The sequence below is a fragment of the Homo sapiens genome, chromosome 1, assembly GCF_000001405.40.
Source record: "Homo sapiens chromosome 1, GRCh38.p14 Primary Assembly".
Lineage (NCBI taxonomy): Eukaryota > Metazoa > Chordata > Mammalia > Primates > Hominidae > Homo > Homo sapiens.
The window spans coordinates 58,578,264-58,600,959 of record NC_000001.11 but is presented as its reverse complement, the minus strand read 5'-3'; the positions used below and the strand labels follow the sequence as shown (position 1 = coordinate 58,600,959).

Below are 22,696 nucleotides of genomic sequence, written 5' to 3'. Positions count from 1 at the left end.
CACAGCAAAAGAAATAATCAGCAAACAGACAACCCACTGAATGGGGGAAAATATTTGCAAACTATACATCCAACAAAGGACTAATATCCAGAATCTACAGGGAACTCAAACAAATCAGCAAGAAAGAAAAACAAAAACAAATAACCCCATCAAAAAGTGGACAAATGACATGAATAGACAATTCTCAAAAGAAAATATACAAATGGCCAACAAACAGGAAAAAATGATCAACATCTTTAATTATCAGGGAAATGAAAATTAAAACCACAATGAGATATCACCTTACTCCTGCAAGAATGGCCATAATTAAAAAATCAAAAAATAATAGATGTTGGCATGAATGTGGTGAAAAGGGAACACTTTTACAATGCTGGTGGGAATGTAAACTAGTATTACTGCTATGGAAAACCGTGTGGAGATTCCTTAAAGAACTAAAAGTAGAACTACCATTGGATCCAGTAATCTCACTACTGGGTATCTACTCAGAGGAAAAGAAGTCATTATATGAAAAAGACACTTGCACACACGTTTGTAGCAGCACAATTTGCAATTGTAAATACATGGAACCAGCCTAAATGCCCATCAACCAATGGGTGGACAAAGAAAATGTGGTATATATATACACTGTGGAATATTATGCAGCCATAAAAAGGAATGAAATAATGGCATTTGCAGCAACCTGGATGGAATTGGAGACCATTATTCTAAGTGAAGTAAAACAGGAATGGAAAACCAAATATCATATGTTCTCACTTATAAGTGGGAGCTAAGCTATGAGGACACAAAGGCATAGGAATGATGGGGACTTTGGGGACTCGGGAGGAGGAGCATGAGGGATAAGACTACACATTGGGTACAGTGTACACTGCTTGGATGATAGGTGCACCAAAATCTCAGAAATTACCACTAAAGCACTTATCCATGTAACAAAAAACCACCTGTTCCCCAAAAACTATTGAAATAAAAATAAAATAAAAAAAAAAAAATTAAAAAAGAAAGCTGACAACAAGCTTTCTGCCAGAAAAAAAAAAAAATTAGACAATCAGATTTTATGTGGGTTCTAATGAGATGCTATAGAGGTATAAAGAAGCCGCCTATGAAATATTGTTGTTCCCACCCCACCTGCCAAAAACACCTTGAATCTGGATCTCTTCAAGTCTCTAGGTCTACCTACCAGTTGACAGGAAATCTAGAGGATAAAGAAATGTATTGAATGATATGACAAAGAGACAATTAGCCAAACCCAAAATGTAGGAGAATTCTACATGACAAATGACCCAGTGTATCCATCAAGGTCCCAGCAAGAAACAGATGGCACATTCAAATTAGGTAATTTGAGAAGGGCTTAGTAAAAGGACTACTTAGAAAGATTTGGGTGGGATATAGGGAAACCACAAGGCAAAAAGAGATAGCACAGGATCCCAGAGCTAATTACAACTCACGAGACATTGCCATTTTAGGGAAAAAGGAACAGGGGAGGAATAGTTACTGTAACAGAGGATACATAGTGAGAGAGAGAGGGAAGGAAGGAAAAGAGAGAACAAAAGCCATGGAGAGGGCCTCCTTATGGTGGCTGTGACCTTGGGTTGAAGGACACAACAAGGTTGCCAAGAAATATTGCACACTGATGGTTAGAATGGTGGTCACTCTCGGCTGGGCACGTGGCCTACGCCTGTAATCCCAGCACTTTGGGAGGCCAAGGCAGGTAGATCATCTGAGGTCAGGAGTTCAAGACCAGCCTGGCCAACATGGCGAAACCTTGTCTCTCCTAAAAATACAGAAAAAGAAAAAAGAATTAGCCAGGTATGGTGGCAGGCACCTGTAATCCCAGCTACTTGGGAGGCTGAGGCAGGAGAATCACTCAAACCTAGGAGGCAGAGGTTGCAGTGAGCCAAGATTGCGCCATTGCACTCCAGCCTGGGCAACAAGAGCGAAACTCCATCTTAAAAAAAAGAAAGAAAAGAATGGTGGTCACACTCTATTTGGAATAAGATAGAAGATGAAGTAAGAAAGATCTAATTTTTTACACAAATAAACTTGAGAATCTCTTAACTACCTGTTTTCAACATGGAATTGAGTATTGATACATGAGGCATATTCTGAATCCAGGACTAACACAATAGATTCCAACTGGTGTTCTTGTGTTCAGTCTCTGCCTTCCATCTCTTCTCCACTTAGTGGGCAGTGTGTTTGAAAAGTACAAATCTGGTTCTGGGGTCAAACAGCTTGAAAACCTTCAGTTGCCCTTTCAATAGAGATTTTTAGCCTGCTTAATAAGACACTCCATGATTTAGCACTTTCTTGTCCCTCCAGTCCTTCTTCCCTTAAATGGCTCTGTCCCAGACGCATGGGGGCATCCTTGGAATGCTACCAGCTTTCTTCCTAGTGGACATTCACATATGTGGTTCCTATGGTCTGTAAGTTGTTTAGGGATCAGTTATAGGAATGAGAAGCGATTCTAGTTAGATTAAGTAGTAAGGGATTTATTTATTGCAGGATATTACATGGTTCCAGAAGCAATGGCAAGCCGGGAAAATGAGACTCTAAGACAACCCCAAGAGCTGCAGGCAGATCTGGCCACCTCGGGTGCTTTTGTCTCTTCTGCCATCAGGGAGCTGGCAGCCAAATTGGGAAGCTGCCCCTGCAGCAGCTCTCTGCCAGGATCAAAAACCCACCAAAACCAGCAAACAGCCACAACCTAGAAACTGAAATACCCAGGAAGCCACCAAAATCAAGAAGTGCCTTGTGGCGGCCAGACTTCCGTCCATGAGGAGCTTACCAACCAGCAGAAGCCACAGAAGCAGGGAGGTGAGGCCACTGCAGCACCCCCATCTTCCAAATCCCGCAGGAATGCACTGACTGATGGAGCTAATTCACATTCAGAACACGTACTACAAAGAAACCCAGAAAATGTGGCTTTTAGCTTTCCAGACTAACACGGTAGAAGAAGGTTGGAGTAGATATTGAGTGCCAGTGGACGACATCTGCATAGCCTGGAACACTCTGTTCTACCTCTTCCCCTGGCCCAGTACTACTCATCCTTAGGTCTTGGGTTACACTCCACTTGCTTAAGAAGATGTTCCCTGCCTCACAGCCTGTCTAGATGCCCCACCTCATCCCCAGTACCTGCTGAGAATACCCACCATATTGCCCTGTGATTATACTCACCACCCTCTAAGAACTGGTCAGCCCTCCCTGCTAAACTCCATCATGGCAGGAAGTGTATCTATCTTGTACACCCCAGTATTCTCAATAGCTTGCCCAGTGCCTGGAATGTGACAATCTCTTCATGTGAAATGAAAGCATGTGTTGAATGTATAAATAAATGAAGGCACAAAGGAGAAGATCAGGGTGAATTCTGTGGGAACAGCTTGAAATAAGGCGATAATGACATCAGTTGGAGAAAAGTTCTTTCAACATGGGGAGGGTTGCAATCTCTGTGATCTGTTTTTTGCAGGGAGTGGATACACTCAGTATAAAATATAGCAGGTCTCTTAAATTGCTAGCAAACCTGGATATCATCTGGAAAAAATCTGTCATGTTTTAAAAAACAAATTTTCTTCAGCAGCCTTGAATGGAATCAAATTCTCGGAAGGGAATGATGCTTCCCACTCACAGGCGTCTGTTGTCAATAAGCAACGTTGTTCCCTGGAGTATTTGCCTCTGAGGAGGCTGGCGCGTGCCTGGCCACTTCGTAAGATCAACGCGATGCTCAAGAGCCTCAAAATACAGGAATTGTCTTTGTTCAGAGGTTGCCCGCTGCCCAGTCCTCAGAACAGACTGAATCCCAGAGAGGGAACATTTCCCATGCAGCCCTTGGAGGGCTCTGGTTTGAATACAGACTCACTTCTCCAAGGATTTGACCTGACAGCTTGTTTGTTTGTGAAGGCTGGGTCTGTATGGAAGCCTAGCCACGATACTGAAGAGTTTTACTTTTCAGAAGAAAGAGCCTGAAGAGCAGGTACATGTGTGACTCAGCAATGCCTAGGCTCTGGCAAAATTGGTGGTAAAATCAGCCAGTCAGGAGCTCCTTTCCTCTAAGCAGACATACCAGTGACATTGGAGGAATGAAGGTCTTATCTCAAACAGATGCAGAACTCATTTTGGGATACCCAGCTCCTCTGCATTTTGCGATATCCAGTTCCTCTGCATTTTGCCCCAGTGACCTGACTACAGTTGGAAGTGTTAGCACGGTGAGTTCAGAGGCAGCCAGGAGGAAGTGAAGCCAGAGGGAGCAACTGGGGCTGATCAAGGGAAAACCACTGCTATGGGGCTTGGTTTTGACACCTGTTGTCTAGGGTCACAGCTTTCTCCCAAAATACGTTACCATGATTAATAAAACTAAAGTTTGAAAGGTCACATAAAAAAGAAACATTAACAGTAAATCATCTGAGCACAGTGGCTCATGCCTGTAGTCACAGTACTTTGGGATGCTGAGGTGGCTGGATCACTTGAGGTCGGGAGTTCAAGACCAGCCTGGCCAACATGGTGAAACCCCGTCTCTACTAAAAATTAGCGGGGCATGGTAGCGTGCACCTGTAATCCCGCTACTCCAGAGGCTGAAACACGAGAATCACTTGAAGCTGGGAGGCAGAGGTTGCAGTGAGCTGAGATTGCACCACTACACTCACTCCAGCCTGGGTGATAGAGCAAGACTCTGTCTAAAAAAACACACACACACACAATAAATCCATAGTATATATATGTGTATATGAATATGTAATAATGTAGCTATTTATAAAACATCAATAAGTAGTGTTCATGGGCATGTGTAAAATATTGAGGGTCCACTTGTACCTCATAATTGATTCATTCACTCCCAAATCCTCCACATCGCCCATGAGTCGTCCTTTCTTTTCTTTTTTTTTTTTTTTTTTGAGACGGCGTCTTGCTCCGTCACCAGACTGGAGTGCTGTGGCGCGATCTCAGCTCACTGCAACCTCCAACTCCCTGGTTCAAGAGATTCTCCTGCCTCAGCCTCCTGAGTAGCTGGGATTACAGGCACGCACCACCACATCCAGCTAATTTTTGTATTTTTTTTTTAGTAGAGACGGGGTTTTACCATGTTGGCCAGGATGGTCTCGATCTCCTGACCTTGTGATCCACCCACCTGAGCCTCCCAAAGTGCTAGGATTACAGGCATAAGCCACCGCGCCTGGTCGAGTCGTCCTTTCTTACTAACAAATCTATAATACTTCTTATTTATTTTATTGGTGCTACTACTTTCCTTGTTACTACTACCTTGGTTTATAATAGTTGTTAAGAGACAGAGCTCGGGAGTCAGACTTTCTCAGTTTAAATTCCAATTCCACCACTTGCTGCTGTGTGACCTAGAAAAAAATTAACTTAATTTTTTCCTGTCTCAGATTCTGCTCTGTAAAATGGAGATTAAAATATCTCTAACCACATGGAAGTGTTATGGGAATTAAATGAGGTAATCCATATGGTATTTAAAACAATGTTTGGCATATTGCGACTCCTCCATGATATTTGTTATCCTTCTTATAATTATTGCTATTAATATTCATTGGTAGCACTCTTACTGTTTAGAGGCACTGCTTTCATGGATTTTGTGTAGTAAGTCAAAATTATGGTTTAAATGATAGCTGGCTCAAGAATATTTCTCTCTCATTCTCCATTCTAGGGCTTTAACTACAGCAAGTGAGAATAGGTTGAGTTCAGGATAAGCTAGAAATTAAGAAATTGAATTTACCAACTAAATATCCATATTCCACAGAAAGGAACCATAGCATTAAATTAAGTAGGTTGCCTTGAGTAGCAAGCAAAAAATCCTGCACAAATTAGCTTAAGCTGGAAACTTAAGAATTGGTTCACATAGCACCTGTCCAACTGTAGGGTGGGCTTCAGGGTTGGTTGATTCAGTGATTCATTGATACCATTGTGGTCTTAGGTTCTTTCCATCTCTCCCCTCTGCCCTCAATAACACTGGCTTCTTCCCAAGTCTAGTTCCCCCTGTAATAAGATGGTGGCTGCTAATGGCAATTGGGATATATGTCTTTTTTCACATCCAGTGAAGGAGAGAAAGAGAGCTGATACCCATGAAAAATCTTTTACTAGAGTGTTTAGGAGCCTCCCCTCATGACACAGGGGCTTACATTGTCTCAAGCCTCCCCATATCCACCTGTCAAGGAGAATGATGTTAGCAAGGTTTACTTAGAGCAATCAGCTGGGATGTAATGGACACTGGAGACTCAGCCACAGTGGCCTCTGTGGGGATCACATGACAAGGCTTCCAGGTGGTGCAGGGGCTTGTCAACTTCGATGTTGCTTGACTGTCAACAAATGGGGCTGTTCTGTTTATTAATTGCTGAGCAGCAAACAACAAAACTGGCTTGAACATACTAACATTTTACTATATCTCACCATTTATGGGTCATAAATTCAGGCAGGGCTTAGCCTGGAGACACTTAGGCTTCATAGAGCTTTGACTGGGGCTACTCAGTGGTATTCAGGTGGCATCTGGTCTGGTCTGAGGATCCTGGATGTCATCACTCACATGCCTGGCACCCCGCTGGGGACAGCGGGAGACTGGGCTGGGCTCAGCTGGACCCCTCCCCCTCTCCATGTGGTCTCTCCAGTGGGGTAGATGGACTCATCCCATGGTGCCTCAGTTTGCTACCCTCCTATGAGTGACAGAGAAATTGTGAAATGAAAGATAATTCAAATGATGGCCGGGCGCGGTGGCTCACGCCTGTAATCCCAGCACTTTGGGAGGCCGAGGCGGGCGGATCACGAGGTCAGGAGATCGAGACCATCCCGGCTAAAACGGTGAAACCCCGTCTCTACTAAAAATACAAAAAATTAGCCGGGCGTAGTGGCGGGCGCCTGTAGTCCCAGCTACTTGGGAGGCTGAGGCAGGAGAATGGCGTGAACCCGGGAGGCGGAGCTTGCAGTGAGCCGAGATCCCGCCACTGCACTCCAGCCTGGGCGACAGAGCGAGACTCCGTCTCAAAAAAAAAAAAAAAAAAAAAAAAAAAAAGATAATTCAAATGATTTGAAATGTCATCTTCAGTACACATAATTAACGTAAAGCAATGGGCATGCAATTTTTAATAACAAGTCATTTGTTTCTCTCTATGCCCACCAAATAGATGTGTCCATGATTTTTTTAAGTATCAGTTTGAAGAGGTGCTACTCTGCCATCCTGTCCAAGGTGCCACTGTCACTACTCACCCTGTGGGAGTGAGTTATGGGGCTCTCTTCCTTTCTCAATAGCCCACTTGGTCTAGAGCACCAACCTGTCTCTCTCATGGTCTCCCAGCAACCTCCAATCTGATCTTGCTGCTTCCAGTCTCACCTCCTGCCACTCATCCTCCATATAGTTTTCCTGCGATTTTTCTGAAACACAAATCTGCTCAGACTATTCCCTTGCCTAAATTCAATTTTAGGTTCTCTTTTACCAACCAGATAAAGTTCAAACTCTGGCATGGCTCACAAGTTCCTTCACAAGTTGTTCCTATCCCAAGTCAAATTCCCCAGTCATCACTGGGATATAAGCTCCAAGGGGGCAAGCATCTCTGTTGTTCACTGCTTTCTTCTCTAGCACCTCGACTGATACTAGCACATAGTAGGTTCTTAATAAGTATTTCTGGAAGGAAGGAGATAATAGAAAAAGGGAGGAATGGGGAAGGGAAAGAAGGGAGGAATGGGGAAGGGAAAGAAGAAAGGAAGAATGTTAGTTCCTATAGCACCCTATCCTATCAAAATGTTCATCTCCAGTTTAATGTCTACCTTCCTCACTAGATTGTAAGGGCCAAGGGGGTAACTAATATGTCATATTCACTACTCCTAGCACAGTGCCTGACATCAAGTCGGTGCCCAAAAAATATCTTTAAAGCCAATGAATTTATTAATAATTCAAGCACATGTTATGTGCTTAAGTCACATACAAAGAGGGGTGGAAGTCAGAGGGAAGGCCATCTGATCTTCTGGAGACCAGGGATAGGTATGGGAAGGGGGCAGGACATGAACGAGTCCTTGGAAGGCTATGACCCATGGCTGAGCAATTGGTCCCCTTTAGGCCTATGGCCCTGGAAGGTTGAATACTATGCTCAGTCCTAATATCCATTTTGTATATCTAGTTTTCTTATTTGGCATGAGTATCCAACCCTGCTAGTATTTTTCCAAGAGAGTGAGTATTTTGAAGTGATTCGTGAACAGCCTTGCCTCAGCCTCCTGGAATGTGACCTCATTCCTTCCCCAGGTCGTTCCCCTCATTAATCAGCCTGCCCAGTCCTGCTCTATCAGGCAGGCTGCCAGGCATGCAGCTGGCATGGGAGCTCCCAGTTCAGGGGCTGAGGTAGGCTTTGCTGTTTAAGAGCATGAACTTCAGAGACAAAAACACCAGGGTTTCGATCTTGAATCCATCCCTTACTAGCTGTAGGATCTTGGGCAAGTTTCTTATCTGTCTAAGCCTTGACTTCATCAGATGGAAAGTGGAGCTAATAACAGCACCTAAATTCACAGTGTATTTGTGAGAATAAGATAATCCTTGAGCCTATATCACAGAGAGTTCAATAATTGTTGAGTCTTATTTTTCTACTCAAGGACTTCTCTTGCCTTTTGGCAGGTTCTGAATTTCTCTGGGATGGAGCAGAAATAGAGGGAGGGAAAAGGAAGGGAATGTGGCATACACTGAGAACCTGTGTCACATCAGATGCTCTGGTGGCATGTCTGCATAACATTAGCCCCATCTTCCAGTGGAAGGAATGCAGATGGTAGAATAGAGAAATCTGGGTTGGAATCCAGGCTCTGAAACTCACTTGCTGTGTGAGTCTGGGCAAAGATCTTCCCCTCTGAGCCTCAGTTTCCCACCAATTGTGGCAGTATCTACTTGGTATTCATGCCATATGGATTATATGAGCTAACATCATGTAAAAATGCTTAGGCAGATGATGCTCAGTAAATGTGCGTTTCTTCATTCCCAAGGGGACAGCTGGTTGACAGAAGGACTTGAATAGAGAGAGGAAGAACATGAGGACATGCCAGAAGGGAGTACCCTTTGGGCATCAGGATGCTGGAGGGGACACACTTCTCTAACCCCCCTGAGAACTGGGCTGCTATAAATGGCATGAGTAGACCTCTCCTTTGGGCTGGCAAAAAGACTCAGATGGCTGGCTCCCTCCCTCCCCAACCTTTCTGGGCCCAGGGCATGGGAGAGGATGGTAATGACAGAGCAGAAAGGAGTCCAAACAACAGTTATAAATGTCAGCACATCTGGATTTTGGCTCTGGCTCTAGCATTTATTAGCCATATGACTTTGGACAAGCCCTCGTGATCTCCCTGAGCCTCAGTTCCCCATCTAAAATGGGGATAATATCAGGTATCTTCTGATTATCTATTGTGGCATCACAAACCACCCTAAACCTTAATGGCTTACAACAATTATTACCTCTCAGGGTTCGTGTTGACTGGACTCAGCTGGGTGGTTCTTGCTTGGGGTCTAGCGCAGCTGCAGTCAGAGGCCCCTGGGGCTGGACTTATCCAAAGGCTTGACTGGGCTTGATGTCCAAGGTGGCTTTTTTACTTACCTGGGCTGGGAAGGCTGCAAGTCTGGACGCTGGTTGGACACCTCTCTTGCCATGTGTCATCTCTAGCTGGGACTTCTTCTTAGAGTAGTCAGACTTCTCACAAGGCAGCTGGCTTCCCATAGAGCATGCATGCCAAGACGCCAAGGCAGAAACAAAATGGTTACCTGTGACCTAGTCTTGGAAGTCCCTTTGTGTCACTTCTGCTACATTCTATTAGCTATAAATGAGATATGGGCCCAGCCCAGATTCAAGGCGAAGTGAAGGGAGGAGTGTCAAAGATTTTTCACCATCTTGAACCCACCACACCACATATCCCATGTACCTCGCAGGGCTGTTGTGAAGGTGAGTAGCAATGGCATGCATGAAAGCCCTTAGTGTAAATCATTACAGAGACATGAGGTTATTGTTCCACGTCCATCCTTTTCTCTCTTCCCTAAATCAAGCACTCATCCATCCTTTCTATCCTGTACCAGTAGCCTCCAGAGTAGCCTCTTTGCCTTTTGTGTCTCCCTGTCAAATTTATCCTCCACAAATGCCTGCCTATATGTCTATCCCAGGTGAAAAACTATCACTAGCTTCACGATGTGGCTCTCACTTACCCGTGCAGGTTTGACTGGCCATATGCTCCCAATCCCCCGCCATATTACTCTGTTCCAACCTTTGGCACCTTTGCTCACACCATTCTTTCTTTCCAGAGCTCTCTTCTCTTTCCATTTCTGCCCACACTCCAACCCTTCTGGTTAAACCTGTCCTCATGTTTTAAGATACCCTGCAAATATCATCCCTTTGTCCAGCTAACAACTCTTGCCCTCACTACTGCTGCACATACCTGTTGAATTCAAATTCCCCCTCTGTGTGCTCCCCTAAATCCTGTGTTCACTGCAGACTGGTCTCGCCGTTCCTCAAAGGGCCAAGCACAGTCCTGACTCAGGGCCTTTGCACGTGTTGTTCCCTCTGCCTGGGATGCTCATTTCCTAAATATTCACTAAATATCTGGCTTCCTTACTTCATTCAGGTCTCTGTTCAAATCTTGCCTCTCAGAAAGACCTGCCTGACCAGCCAATCTAAGATAGCACAGCCTCCCTCACTCTCCCACCCTGTAACCTGCTTCTTTTCCTTCAGAGCACTTGTCATCTGTCTAGGGCCCATGCAATATGGGGCTGCAAGAGCCAGCTGTGTGAATCACTCCCAAATTGGCACTCAGTGACACCATGTTGATAGCTTGAAATTGGTCACAGGGAGAGTACACTAAGGCCCCTCCTGCCCTCAATTTAGAATCTCTGATGGAACTCATCACCTTCATCTCACTTAACAGGGATAGTGAAATGGCTGGTTCAAGGTCACACAGCCAGTTAATGAAAACATTAGGCAATTTGGTTTTAAGAAGGAACTCAGAAACCAGTTGCTTGAGTTCAAATCCTGACTTCACCATTGACTAGCTACTTGAAAATCACCAAAGGCTACAAATTAGGGTACTTTCTTTTTTCTCCTGGAGAACTTGTTTTCAAACACCTATGTGCATACTATTCTGTGTTTATTTCATTTATTGTGTATCTCTCTCACTAGATCATAATTTTTGCAAAGGCAGAGGCTTTACTAATGCTTAGTCCCAGCATCTAGTGCCATGCCTGACACAAAGTATGTGCTCAATAATGTTTGTTGAATGAACAAACAAATACGCAAACCAACCAATGAGAAACAATAATCACATCCAGTTGTAAACTGAGTCTTTGAAAGAAGACATTGGCTCTCTTTTCATCTTTTGTGCTCAGCACACAGCCTGGCACATAGAAGGAGCTCAAGGAATGTTGATAAACAAGAGAATACCCTCTGAAGACGGCTGCATCTACATCAAATCCAGCTGCTCTCTGATAAGCATAAAAAACTGCACCAGACAACTCCACTGGTATTTCCATTATGCGCCAAAGAGAAACCTGCAGGAACTCAGGCAAGAAAAAAGCACTGGCCTGGGAGGCAGGAGCCTGGGTTTTTAATCCCAGCATAACTGTGCCTGCTATGCGGCCTCAGGCAAGTCACTTCTCCAACCCAGGCCTTAATTTTCCTATTGGTAAAATGGGGTGATTGGAAGTAGATGATGGGGTCCCTTCTAACTCAGAGCTGTGGTTGAATTTATGTCTGGATCTGCCCCAGGCAGGGCTGCTCTAAAGTAGCAGGAGGTGGCTGATGGACAGAACTGGCCTTCTACAGGTACAAGAGGCAGGATGTGGCCAGGATGCCACAGCTGGAAGATAGCATAGTGCTCCAGAGTCTGGGACACCTCAGAGCTGTGGGATGGGCCCCTCTCTTCTTCTCCGGTCTCTACCTCTGCCCAGAAACCATTCCAGCTCCTCCCGCCTGTCTTCATATGGCACCTGACTTGAGGCTTCCCTGAGAACAGTTAGAGCATTGGCTGCTTTACCTACTGGAGCAGGACACGAATAGGAAGGCTCTGATACAGGGAGGAGCACGGAGACGCGTTACATCTTGGTAACTTTGGCTTGTGTCTAAACAAACAGGTTGGCTAAGTTGGTCAGCCCGCACCTTGTTTCCTGTTATTTATGTTACATGGAGCATAAGCAGTTCAGAGCAATCGAAAGAGCCCTGATTTGGATAATAGAAACTACCATTTATTGAGCATTTATTGTGTGCCAGGTGCTGCTTTAAGCTAAGGGTCAGCAAACTACACTGGCCAAATTCTGTTTTTGTGTGGTCCATGGGCTGAGACACTTTTAAATTTTGAGACAGGGTCTGGCTGTGTCACCCGGCTGGACAAAATCACAACTCACTTCACTGCAACCTCCGCCTCTTGGGCTCAAGCCAACCTCCCATCTCAACCTCCCAAGTAGCTGTGACTACAGGCACATGGCACGACGCTGGGCTAATTTTTGGATTTTTTTAAAGATGGGGTTTTGTCATGTTGTCCATACTGGTCTCAAACTCCTGAGCTCAAGTGATCCACCCTCCTTGGCCTCCCAAAGTGCTAGGATTACAAGTGTGAGCCATCGAGCCTGGCCGAGATGTTGTTTACATTGTTAAATAATTATATAAGTACTTCATAATTATCTTGATTTGTTTTTTTTTTTTTTTGACAGGGTCTTGCTCTGTCACCCAGGCTGGAGCACAGTGGCGCCAACAAGGCTCACTGTAGCCTCGACCTCTCAGGCCTAAGTGATCCTCCCACCTCAGCTTCCCAAGTAGCTGGGACCGCAGGCACACACAACCACACCTGACTAAATTTTAAAGTTTTTGTAGAGATAGGGTTTTGCCATGTTGCCTGGCTGGTCTCGAACTCCTGGGTTCAAGCCACTGCCCGCCTCAGCTTCCCAAACTGCTGGGATTACAGGCATGAGCCACCGCACCCAGTCTCATCTTTAATTTTGATCCTTAGCACACAAAGCCTAAATTGTTTATCTAGCCTTTAACTAACTAGTTTGCTAACCAACCCCTGCTCCAACTTTTTTTTTTTTTTAACATGGATTAATTCCTAATCCTCACAATAACCCTGCAAAGTAGGTTAACTATTATTATCCCCATTTTACAGATGAGCAAATAGAGGCAGGGGGAGGTTAAATGATGTATTGAGGTCAAATCGCTAGTAAATGGCAAAGGCAAAATTTGAACTCAGGCAACTGGTTTCTGAGTTCCTTCTTAAGACCAAACTGCCTAATGTTTTCACTAACTGGCTGATGATCTTGAGCAAGTCATTTCACTGTCCCTGTTAAGTGAGATGAAGGTGATGAGTCCCACCAGAAATTTAAAACTGAGGTCAGGAAGGTCCTTGAAATGAATTTCAGGGAGTCTGTGACTCTGGAATCTGTGCAAAATATACTGTCTTTGTGCACAGTTGCATTATTTGAAGAGAGAATCCATCACTGTCTTCAGAAATGGATTCTGTGACTCAAAACAGAACTACTGGACTAGCTTTCTTGGAAGGCTATCTCCAGCCTTAACATTCTTCAATGTTATTTATTTGGATTTTTTTCCTCATGTGCTATCTGTTTAGGTTGTCTTTTCTGCCTAAATGTTATTTATTTCAGATGCCTTTTAAAATGCAAATGTTATCTATTGGATTGTATTTGCTCCCACCTCCAAATTGCTACATACTCATTACCTTTAAAAAATGAGAAAAACAGACAACCTTAAGAGCCAGTGAGGTTTTTCTACTGATGTATCCTGCAACTCTATATAAATAATCTGTATAAGTGGAGAGGACAGGAGATATGGTTTATAAATCCATATTGTAGTTATTCATATGTTTCCATGTTATTTATTTAACAAATATGTACTAAACCCCCACTAGGAGGTAGTTGCTGTGTGCACTGTAACCTCCATGGAGCCAGGGGTTAGGTGTAACTTGCCATTGTACCTCCTCAGCCCAATACAGACCTGGCACCTGGGAGGCACTCAGTGAGGATGCCTGCCTGCCTGCCTGCCTGGCTGAAGAGACGGATGAATAGAAGGCTGGAAAGTATATGAAAAATCAGTAGTGTGGGTGGGGAAAGAGGTTCAGGGTGCTGAGCAATTTAGTTGTGTTGGTTTCTGGTACCTTCCAATTGGCAGCCTCCCATGATCTTGGAGAAGCTTTTGAGGGCAGTCCTCATTTTCCCATCAGTCATGCTTTGAAAGATGCTAGTTGAAGATCAGCTGACAGAGCCAGGACTTCTCACATGAATCCAAAGAAATTAATCCATTTTCTTACATCCCACTAAGGTCAGAGGAACAACAAGGACTTTCTTGCCCTTTGTCTTGGGCCCACACATCCCAGAATTAGAGAACAATGAAGTCTCCTCTTTCCTGCCTGCCTCATTCTTCCTAGACTTCTGAACTTTTCCTCTCTCCCACTCCTCCTCGCCTCTACTTCCATCCCTGGTGTGAGTCTTGTGACTCATGACGGCTGAGAGTAGGAGTGCAGTTGAGCCCCTCAGCACACTCAGCCCTGGACCGATGTGACTGGAGATGTCTTGAGATGGACAGGAACAGGCGCAGGGAGGAGCAGGAGGGTAAGCCATGCCAGGGATGTAGCTTGGGTATTAATGTCTGTGGGAGGGGCAGCACAAGAGCTAAGGAGAGCATCTTCTACCAGGGAGACTGAAAGGTTCTGTTCTGCTTTCTTGTTTTGAACAAAACAAAACAAAATTCACCTGCACTAGGCTGTACTGTATTCATCTGCAGTGTCCATAATACTTGTCTGTCTTCCCAAAAGGAGAAGATAGCAAAACTTACTATCCATACCATCTAAAGGTAGTAAGTTGTCGGATAAAATCAAAGCCTTATCCTTACTTGGATTCTCTTGAGAGGCCATTTTTGATGTTCTGATTCAGCATGAGTAAGAGAGGTTAGGGTATAACTTGAACTTGTATACCAGTGAACTTCTATACTACCATGCTGGAGTTTTAAACATGTTGGGTTCAGGAAATTTATATGGTCTGTAGCAGCATGATGTCACAGAAAAAGCATAATCTCAGAACCAGGCAAAAAGGGGTGTGAGCTGGGTGCAGTGGCACGTACCTGAAGCCCTAGCTACTTGAAGCTGAGGTGGGAGGATTACTTGAGCTCAGGAGTTGAGGCTGTAGTGAGCTATGATTGCATCACCGCACTCTAGCCTGGGCAACAGAGAGAGATCCTGTCTCTAAAATATGTTTAGAAAAGAATGTGAATTACAGCTGTTCCATTTACTATTTGTGTATTCTTAGACAAGCGCCCTTCTGCCTGTTTCCTTATTTGTAAAGTGAGAATAACAAAACCCACTCCCTTCAGATGTTATAGGGATAGAGGAAACACATGTTGAGTTGCTGGCTGGTAATAGGCTCTCAATACAGTGTAGATATTTATTGTAAGTATTGCCCAGAAACCATCTGTTCCTAGAAAAGAGGAAATTGATAGATAGGTAAGGGGCTGTTAGGGTTACTCCTGCCTTCCTAGACAGGGGAGTAGAAAGGCAAGACAACAGGAGTAAAACCTCCTCAAAGCTTCCCTAGAATCCTCTGCTGGTATCTCTCATAATGTCATTTGCTGGGCTGGGCCACTGGTGGAGATGGTGCTTGCCACCACCTAGGGTGTGAGGTTGGCACAGGAGGAAGGATGACGGGATAGGGACGTTCCACTAGAGAAAGGCAATGGAAGAGGCAGGGAGAGAGCAGGAAAGGGGAAAGTCTGGGGACAGGAGAACTGGCTTCAAATTCCTGAGGAACCAAGGAGTGAAAGGGGAACATTACTTACTCTTTCTTGCTCCAAGAGTAGAAATTTAGATCAGTTTGTGAAAATTACAGAGGCACTGAATTTCCTTAATTATGATGAACTTCTTAGTAAAGCTGCTTGGGACTGGAATGGGTTGTCTTGTGGGGAGGTAAGGATGTTGCATTATCACAGGTAGCCTACAAGCACCTGTTTAGCATTCTGAGATACCTCTCTTTGGGTGGGAGACTGGAATACATGTCCTCTAAGACCCCTTTTGATAACTCTAAGGAGCCTCACTTGGATCAGGACTGTCCAGAAAGGCAGACGAATTTGTCAGTAGCAGCAGCCCACTTAAGACCTCTCACCACCTGCCCTTATCTCAAGGACAGCTGAAAGTGGTTAAAAACAGCAAACACCTCCACATCCCCTTAACAGGGCATCACACATCGCCGGGCCAGCTCTGGGAAAGGAAGCACCGTGACTCATCAGTGTGGGGTTCGAGCATTGTGGCTGCCTCAGGAATGTAGGGAGAAGGTTTCCCAATCTCTCTTTATTTGTTGCCAAATCTGTCTGGAAGCTGTTGGGCCCAGTGAAATTAAAAGTCACTGAGTGTTTTACTGGCTTTCCCCAGAGTGTAAAGCCCTTACAGGAGAAGCTGACTGCCCCTAGATGAAGAGACCAGAATGAGAAGGAGGCCATTTATGGTTTGCAATTCAGAACAAGGACACCATGAAAAGAAGATGATGGGCAGGATTCTGAAATGAAACCATGACACACACTTGTAAGGTGAAACTGCAGTCACTTTTCAAATCCAGATGAACCACAAAAACCAAGCAGAACTGTACACATCACAGGCAACTTCTCCTGAAAGAAACTGAGTTGGGCCCACCCAAATGAGCAAGCACAAACAGAAACGTGTTGTCTTCCCAGAAAAGTGAAAAGATCAAACATTCCCTGGGCAGCCAGGACCCAGACCACACCCAGTTTACCAGCAGAACATCTTTGACCTCTCTCGTTTATTCAAGACCCATCAGCGAGAGACTAAACTGTGCAATGGAAAAATGTCCCAGTCACGAGACTTGGCTCAGATCCTTCCTGGACTCATTTCTAACTATGTGACCCTAAGCCTCAGCTTCCTGATCAGGTGAATGGGGACAAGAGTAATTATTTTGTAGGCTTGCTGGGGGAATTACAAGGAATTTATAATATGATGATCAATAAATGACAGCTTATATTAATAAAAATAACAGAAATGGAGAAAAAGAGGAAGCAAAAACAGAAAATATTACTCCCAAATACTTCCTCCAAAACTTACTTTGAGGAATTGATGTGAATTTTTTTATTACAAACATTTTAAGCAAACAAAATATGGAGAGTGTACCCATTCCCTAGCTCTTGATTTCTAGTATTTTGAAATACTTAAAACACATTTTTAAAGAAATGAAACACCGAAGATACAGTTGTGTAGCCCTTGTCTATTCTGTTCTCCACACCTCTACACTCTGGACACTGTCCAACTTCCTTTTTTATGTTCTGTTTCTTGGGGCTTCCTTCCTCCAGCCTGAACTAACAATCACCACAACCAACTTCTCTCTCTGCATTATCTGTATTCTGGCTGAAGAGTTACCTGCTTCTTCTAGGACTGCAAGCTTCTGCTGAGGAGAAAAGGAAACTCTGGCCCTCCAGCACTGCCCACTGTCTCAAAAGGAGCTCCTTAAAAGAGGCTGAAGCTGATGGTGGTCAGGCTAGAAAGAAGAGTGCGGACCCCTCCCTGCATAGTGCTGGGCATTAGGGTCTTCAGCTGTGGGCTCACAGCTGTGTCCTAGAAAATAAATTATTTTGACAAATGGGATCTAATTAAACTAAAGAGCTTCTGCACAGCAAAAGAAACTACCATCAGAGTGAACAGGCAACCTACAAAATGGGAGAAAATTTTTGCAACCTACTCATCTGACAAAGGGCTAATATCCAGAATCTACAATGAACTCAAACAAATTTACAAGAAAAAAACAAACAACCCCATCAAAAAGTGGGCGAAGGACATGAACAGACACTTCTCAAAAGAAGACATTTATGCAGCCAAAAAACACATGAAAAAATGCTCACCATCACTGGCCATCAGAGAAATGCAAATCAAAACCACAATGAGACACCATCTCACACCAGTTAGAATGGCAATCATTAAAAAGTCAGGAAACAACAGGTGCTGGAGAGGATGTGGAGAAATAGGAACACTTTTACACTGTTGGTGGGACTGTAAACTAGTTCAACCATTGTGGAAGTCAGTGTGGCGATTCCTCAGGGATCTAGAACTAGAAATACCATTTGACCCAGCCATCCCATTACTGGGTATACACCCAAAGGACTATAAATCATGCTGCTATAAAGACACATGCACACGTATGTTTATTGCGGCATTATTCACAATAGCAAAGACTTTGAACCAACCCAAATGTCCAACAATGATAGACTGGATTAAGAAAATGTGGCACATATACACCATGGAATACTATGCAGCCATAAAAAATGATGAGTTCATGTCCTTTGTAGGGACATGGATGAAATTGGAAACCATCATTCTCAGTAAACTATCGCAAGAACAAAAAACCAAACACCGCATATTCTCACTCATAGGTGGGAATTGAACAATGAGAACACATGGACACAGGAAGGGGAACATCATACTCTGGGGACTGTTGTGGGGTGGGGGGAGGGGGGAGGGATAGCATTGGGAGATATACCTGATGCTAGATGACGAGTTAGTGGGTGCAGCACACCAGCATGGCACATGTATATGTATGTAACTAACCTGCACAATGTGCACATGTACCCTAAAACTTAAAGTATAATAATAAAAAAATAAAAAAATAAAAAAAATAAATAAATAAATAGAAAAAAAAGAAAATAAATTATTTAATCATTCTTCTTGAAACAAGAAATTCCTAAAAATATTTGTACAATTAAGGGAAGGGATGAAAAGTAACAGAAAACCTGAGAAACATGAGATGAGTCTCTAAGCTCTTTCAACCCCTTGTTAATTCCATCTTTGTTAATTTCTATATACATTTGCAGTCAGGAGACCTGGTTTCTAGGCCTGGCCTCACCTTTTATAAGCATGTGACCATGGGCAAATTGTTCCCTTCCCCCAAGGCCTCTGTTTCCACATCTATAAAATAGGGATAATAATATCTTCCCTGCCTAACCCCCAGAGGTGCTGCAGGGATCCCAGCAGATAATGGGGGCAAATATACTAAAGCACTATCTGCATCTAGATACTCTCCATATTGCTGCATCCTGGAGGTCAGGGGATGGTTGGGGCTCTCGGGCTGCTCTCCTGCCTAGCACTCAGCTCCCTGGACTTGATCTTCAGCAGTCCCCATAATCACTGGCCTTGTGAAGAACCCTTTAATGATCTTAAAGCATCTTCACATTCCTGAGATGGCTGATAATAATAGCTAAAATATTTTACTTAGCACATACCAAACATTATGTTGAGTATTTTATAGTCTTTATCTGGAATCATTAAAATAATTCTCGATGGTAAGTGCTGTTTATTTTTAATTAATCAAACAGTTTTATTTTTATGTTTTGTTTTTATATATCATACCCTTTAATATAAAATTCACATGCTGGTATTGGTCTTATACCAAGGAGAATCAGATTATCACCAAGAATTTATCAAAGAGCACAAGAACAGCTGAAGTGTGAAGTTCAATGGGGAAAAATGTATTATTAATTACAAGGTGGGAAATCATTGTTTTCACAGGCATTGATGCAGTGTAGGCCCTGTTACCCCCATTTTACAGTTAAGGAAGCTGAGGCGCAGAGTGCTGAAACAACTTGCTGAGAAACACACAGCAGTGAGTGGTGTGAAGCCAAAACTTGAGCCTAAGTCTCACTGGATCCAAGGTCCATTTTCTTTCAACTACATTATACACTTGCTTATAGAATCTTTGGCTGCTCTTGGTGTCCTCAGATCATATCCTTCATCCTTGCAGGCACAAGGCTGACAAAAGTTAAGGATTGGACAAAAATGACAATAAGGGCATCGTTACCCAGTCTTCCTTGAAATTGGGTGTTTGGAGGGTGGGTTAGGGTAGGGACAGAGATTCATGGTTGGGGCAGGTGGTGAGGCTTAGACAAGGAAAGAAGTACTGAAATGGTCCACATGAACACTCCTAGGAGAATATATTGATATTGAAACATTCTGGGCACAACTCAGTGTTAATCCAATAAACATTACTTAGTGCCTAATATTCTGGTGCTGGGGCTACATACAGTGCTTATATGTGCTTCCCGCCCCTCATAAACACATGACAAGCCTGAAATGCTTGTGTTAAATATTTTTTAAATTAAAATTAAAAAATACAGGCTGGGTGTGGTGGGATTACGCCTGTAATCCCAGCAGTTTGGGAGGCCAAGGCGGGAGGATCACCTGAGGTCAGGAGTTTGAGACCACCCTGGCCAACATGGTGAAACCCCGTCTATACTAAAAATACAAAAATTAGCTGAGCATGGTGTTGAGCACCTGTAATCCCAGCTACTTGGGAGGCTGAGGCAGGAGAATCACTTGAACCCAGGAGGCGGAGGTTTCAGTGAGCCGAGGTCATGCTACTGCACTCCAGCCTGGGTGACAAGAGCAAAACTCTGTCTCAAAAATAAATAAATAAATAAATAAAAAGAGATAAAGCTAATACATGCTATTTTGCAGAACTTGGCAGAAAAAGGACGAAGGGAAAAGGGAGAATCACAGCTGAGACTGTGTTTACATAATAAACTCATTGTGGTCTTTGTGTGTGTTGGGGAAAGCCTGGCAGAACCAGAGAATTTAAGCAAGTGGAGTCTGTGGGGGGAGGGGATTAGGAGGTCATCTTTGCCTTACTCTAACTTCCCCAGAAGATATTGAGGCTGGGCCCCTTCTATTCCTGTCCTCTCAGTACCTAACATAATTGGAAGAAGCAAAGGCTTGGATGCCTCAGAGCACTAGCCCCAGTACCACCCATGTGGGGCTGTTCTAGCTTGGTAGTCAATGACACCATCACACAAATTCCTCAGCCCTGAGAACCCTCTCTCATCAGCTTTCCTCTTGCCAGCCTGGGACCTGATGGAATGGAAAATAGAGAACTCTGCTAGTTATAGAACATTGTGGCTACCTAGTTAATACCTGGAAAAGCAAGAAGAGGGTATATATATTTTAGAAATAAAAGTGAAATCTAATATTTTTACAGAGTCTTAGAGTTTACAAAGCTTTGGCATCTACCATCTCATCTCTTTGTATTTGAGTCTCAGCATAATCTACGAAACAGGCTGTATTTTGCCCATTTGACAGATGGGAGGACAAAAGCCCAGAAAAGTTAATGTTGCCATCCTAGTATGTCTGAGATTAGGAACGAATAGAGAGGCATATCCCTGAGTGTAACAGGGAGGGCCTTATTAGGGAAGGCATCTTGGAGGTGACTCAAGAGCTGAGTAGAAAAACAGAATTATGCACTAAATAAAGAAAGGGAGACTCCAGGTAGGTGACTTTGCAAAGACTTGAAAACATGGACTGCCGGAGAGGTTGGCAGGAGCACGATGATGATGATGATGATGATGACGACGACGACGACAACGATGATGACAAATGACAGCAGCTAACATCTATCCGTTGCTTACTATGTGTAGATACTGTTAGAACAGATACTCTTCAAAGCAGTTTATCTGCATTAACTATAAAACCTACCTTGTAAGGTAGGTACTTTTATTATCCCCATTTTACAGATGACAAAACTAAGGCACAGAGACGTAGCTTGCCTATAACATCATATAGGAATGATCTTAAGGGCTAATATAAGAAGCATGAATTTTATCTGGAGAGCCGAGAGCACCCCCCTCACTCTACTTAACAGAGAGGAGGTGGGCACAGACTTCTGATTTAGAAAGTCTTCTTGGATGCAGGGTGGACCGAGGTCGGAGAGGGGAAAAGAAACTAGAACCTGACTCAGATATCTGTCCAAGGAAGACCTGAACAGAGACAGTGGGGATAGACAGCAGAGGACTATCCCACAATTCCTCATGTTTGTGGATAAGAAATTGTCCCTCACGCGGATCACGAGGTCAGGAGATCGAGACCACCCTGGCTAACACGGTGAAACCCCGTCTCTACTAAAAATACCAAAAAAATTAGCCGGGCGTGGTGGCAGGCGCTTGTAGTCCCAGCTACTCAGGAGGCTGAAGCAGGAGAATGGCATGAACCCAGGAGGTGGAGCTTGCAGTGAGTTGAGATCATGCCACTGCACTCCAGCCTGGGTGACAGAGCGAGACTCCGTCTCAAAAAAAAAAAAAAAAAAAAAAAAAAAAAAAAAAATTCGCCGGGCGTGGTGGCTCATGCCTGTAATCCCAGCACTTTGGGAGGCTGAGGTGGGCGGATCACCTGAGGTCAGGAGTTTGAGACCAGCCTGACCAACATGGAGAAACCCTGTCTCTACTAAAAATACAAAAAAAAATTAGCCAGGCTTGATGGCTCATGCCTGTAATCCCAGCTACTCGGGAGGCTGACGCGGGAGACTTGCTTGAACCTGGGCGGCGGAGGTTGTGGTGAGCCGAGATCACGCCATTGCACTCCAGCCTGGGCAACAAGGGCAAAACTCCGTCTCAAAAAAAAAAAAGAAAAAAGAAATTGTCCCTCACATGTCTCTGCTTCCTCTGTCTGTCAAGGCAGAATATATTTCAATCTTCCTGCCTCAGGAATTGCGTGAAAATTAATGGGACAGAGGCCCAGCTGGCTTTCATCTGCTAAACAACACCCTTGCACGACTGGTGGTGCACATTAAATGCTGAACATATAAAATGTGCTTTGATGGAGGACCTGGGAATAATTATAGCTTGCTAATTATTGTTAATTTTACCACAGCTTTGAAACTCTAGACTTTCTCAATGACTCAAAAAGAGATTGCAACCCCTGTATGCCATGAAACTAGCCACACAGT

The 22,696-nt window shown here is 44.0% G+C and overlaps 3 annotated features.

Annotated features, from left to right (window-relative positions):
• Window positions 8,089-8,383: an enhancer, noted in NCBI's record as "tiled region #14294; HepG2 Activating non-DNase unmatched - State 10:DNaseD". NCBI's record gives its function as "activates a minimal TATA promoter and a strong SV40 promoter by Sharpr-MPRA in HepG2 cells {active_cell/tissue: HepG2}" and the evidence as "EXISTENCE:reporter gene assay evidence [ECO:0000049][PMID:27701403]".
• Window positions 14,309-14,603: a silencer, noted in NCBI's record as "tiled region #6655; K562 Repressive non-DNase unmatched - State 21:Repr". NCBI's record gives its function as "represses a minimal TATA promoter and a strong SV40 promoter by Sharpr-MPRA in K562 cells {active_cell/tissue: K562}" and the evidence as "EXISTENCE:reporter gene assay evidence [ECO:0000049][PMID:27701403]".
• Window positions 15,670-16,869: an enhancer, noted in NCBI's record as "MED14-independent group 3 enhancer chr1:59049763-59050962 (GRCh37/hg19 assembly coordinates)". NCBI's record gives its function as "activates an origin of replication core promoter dependent on BRD2, BRD4, P300/CBP and CDK7 cofactors, and independent of MED14, by STARR-seq in HCT116 cells {active_cell/tissue: HCT116}" and the evidence as "EXISTENCE:reporter gene assay evidence [ECO:0000049][PMID:35650434]".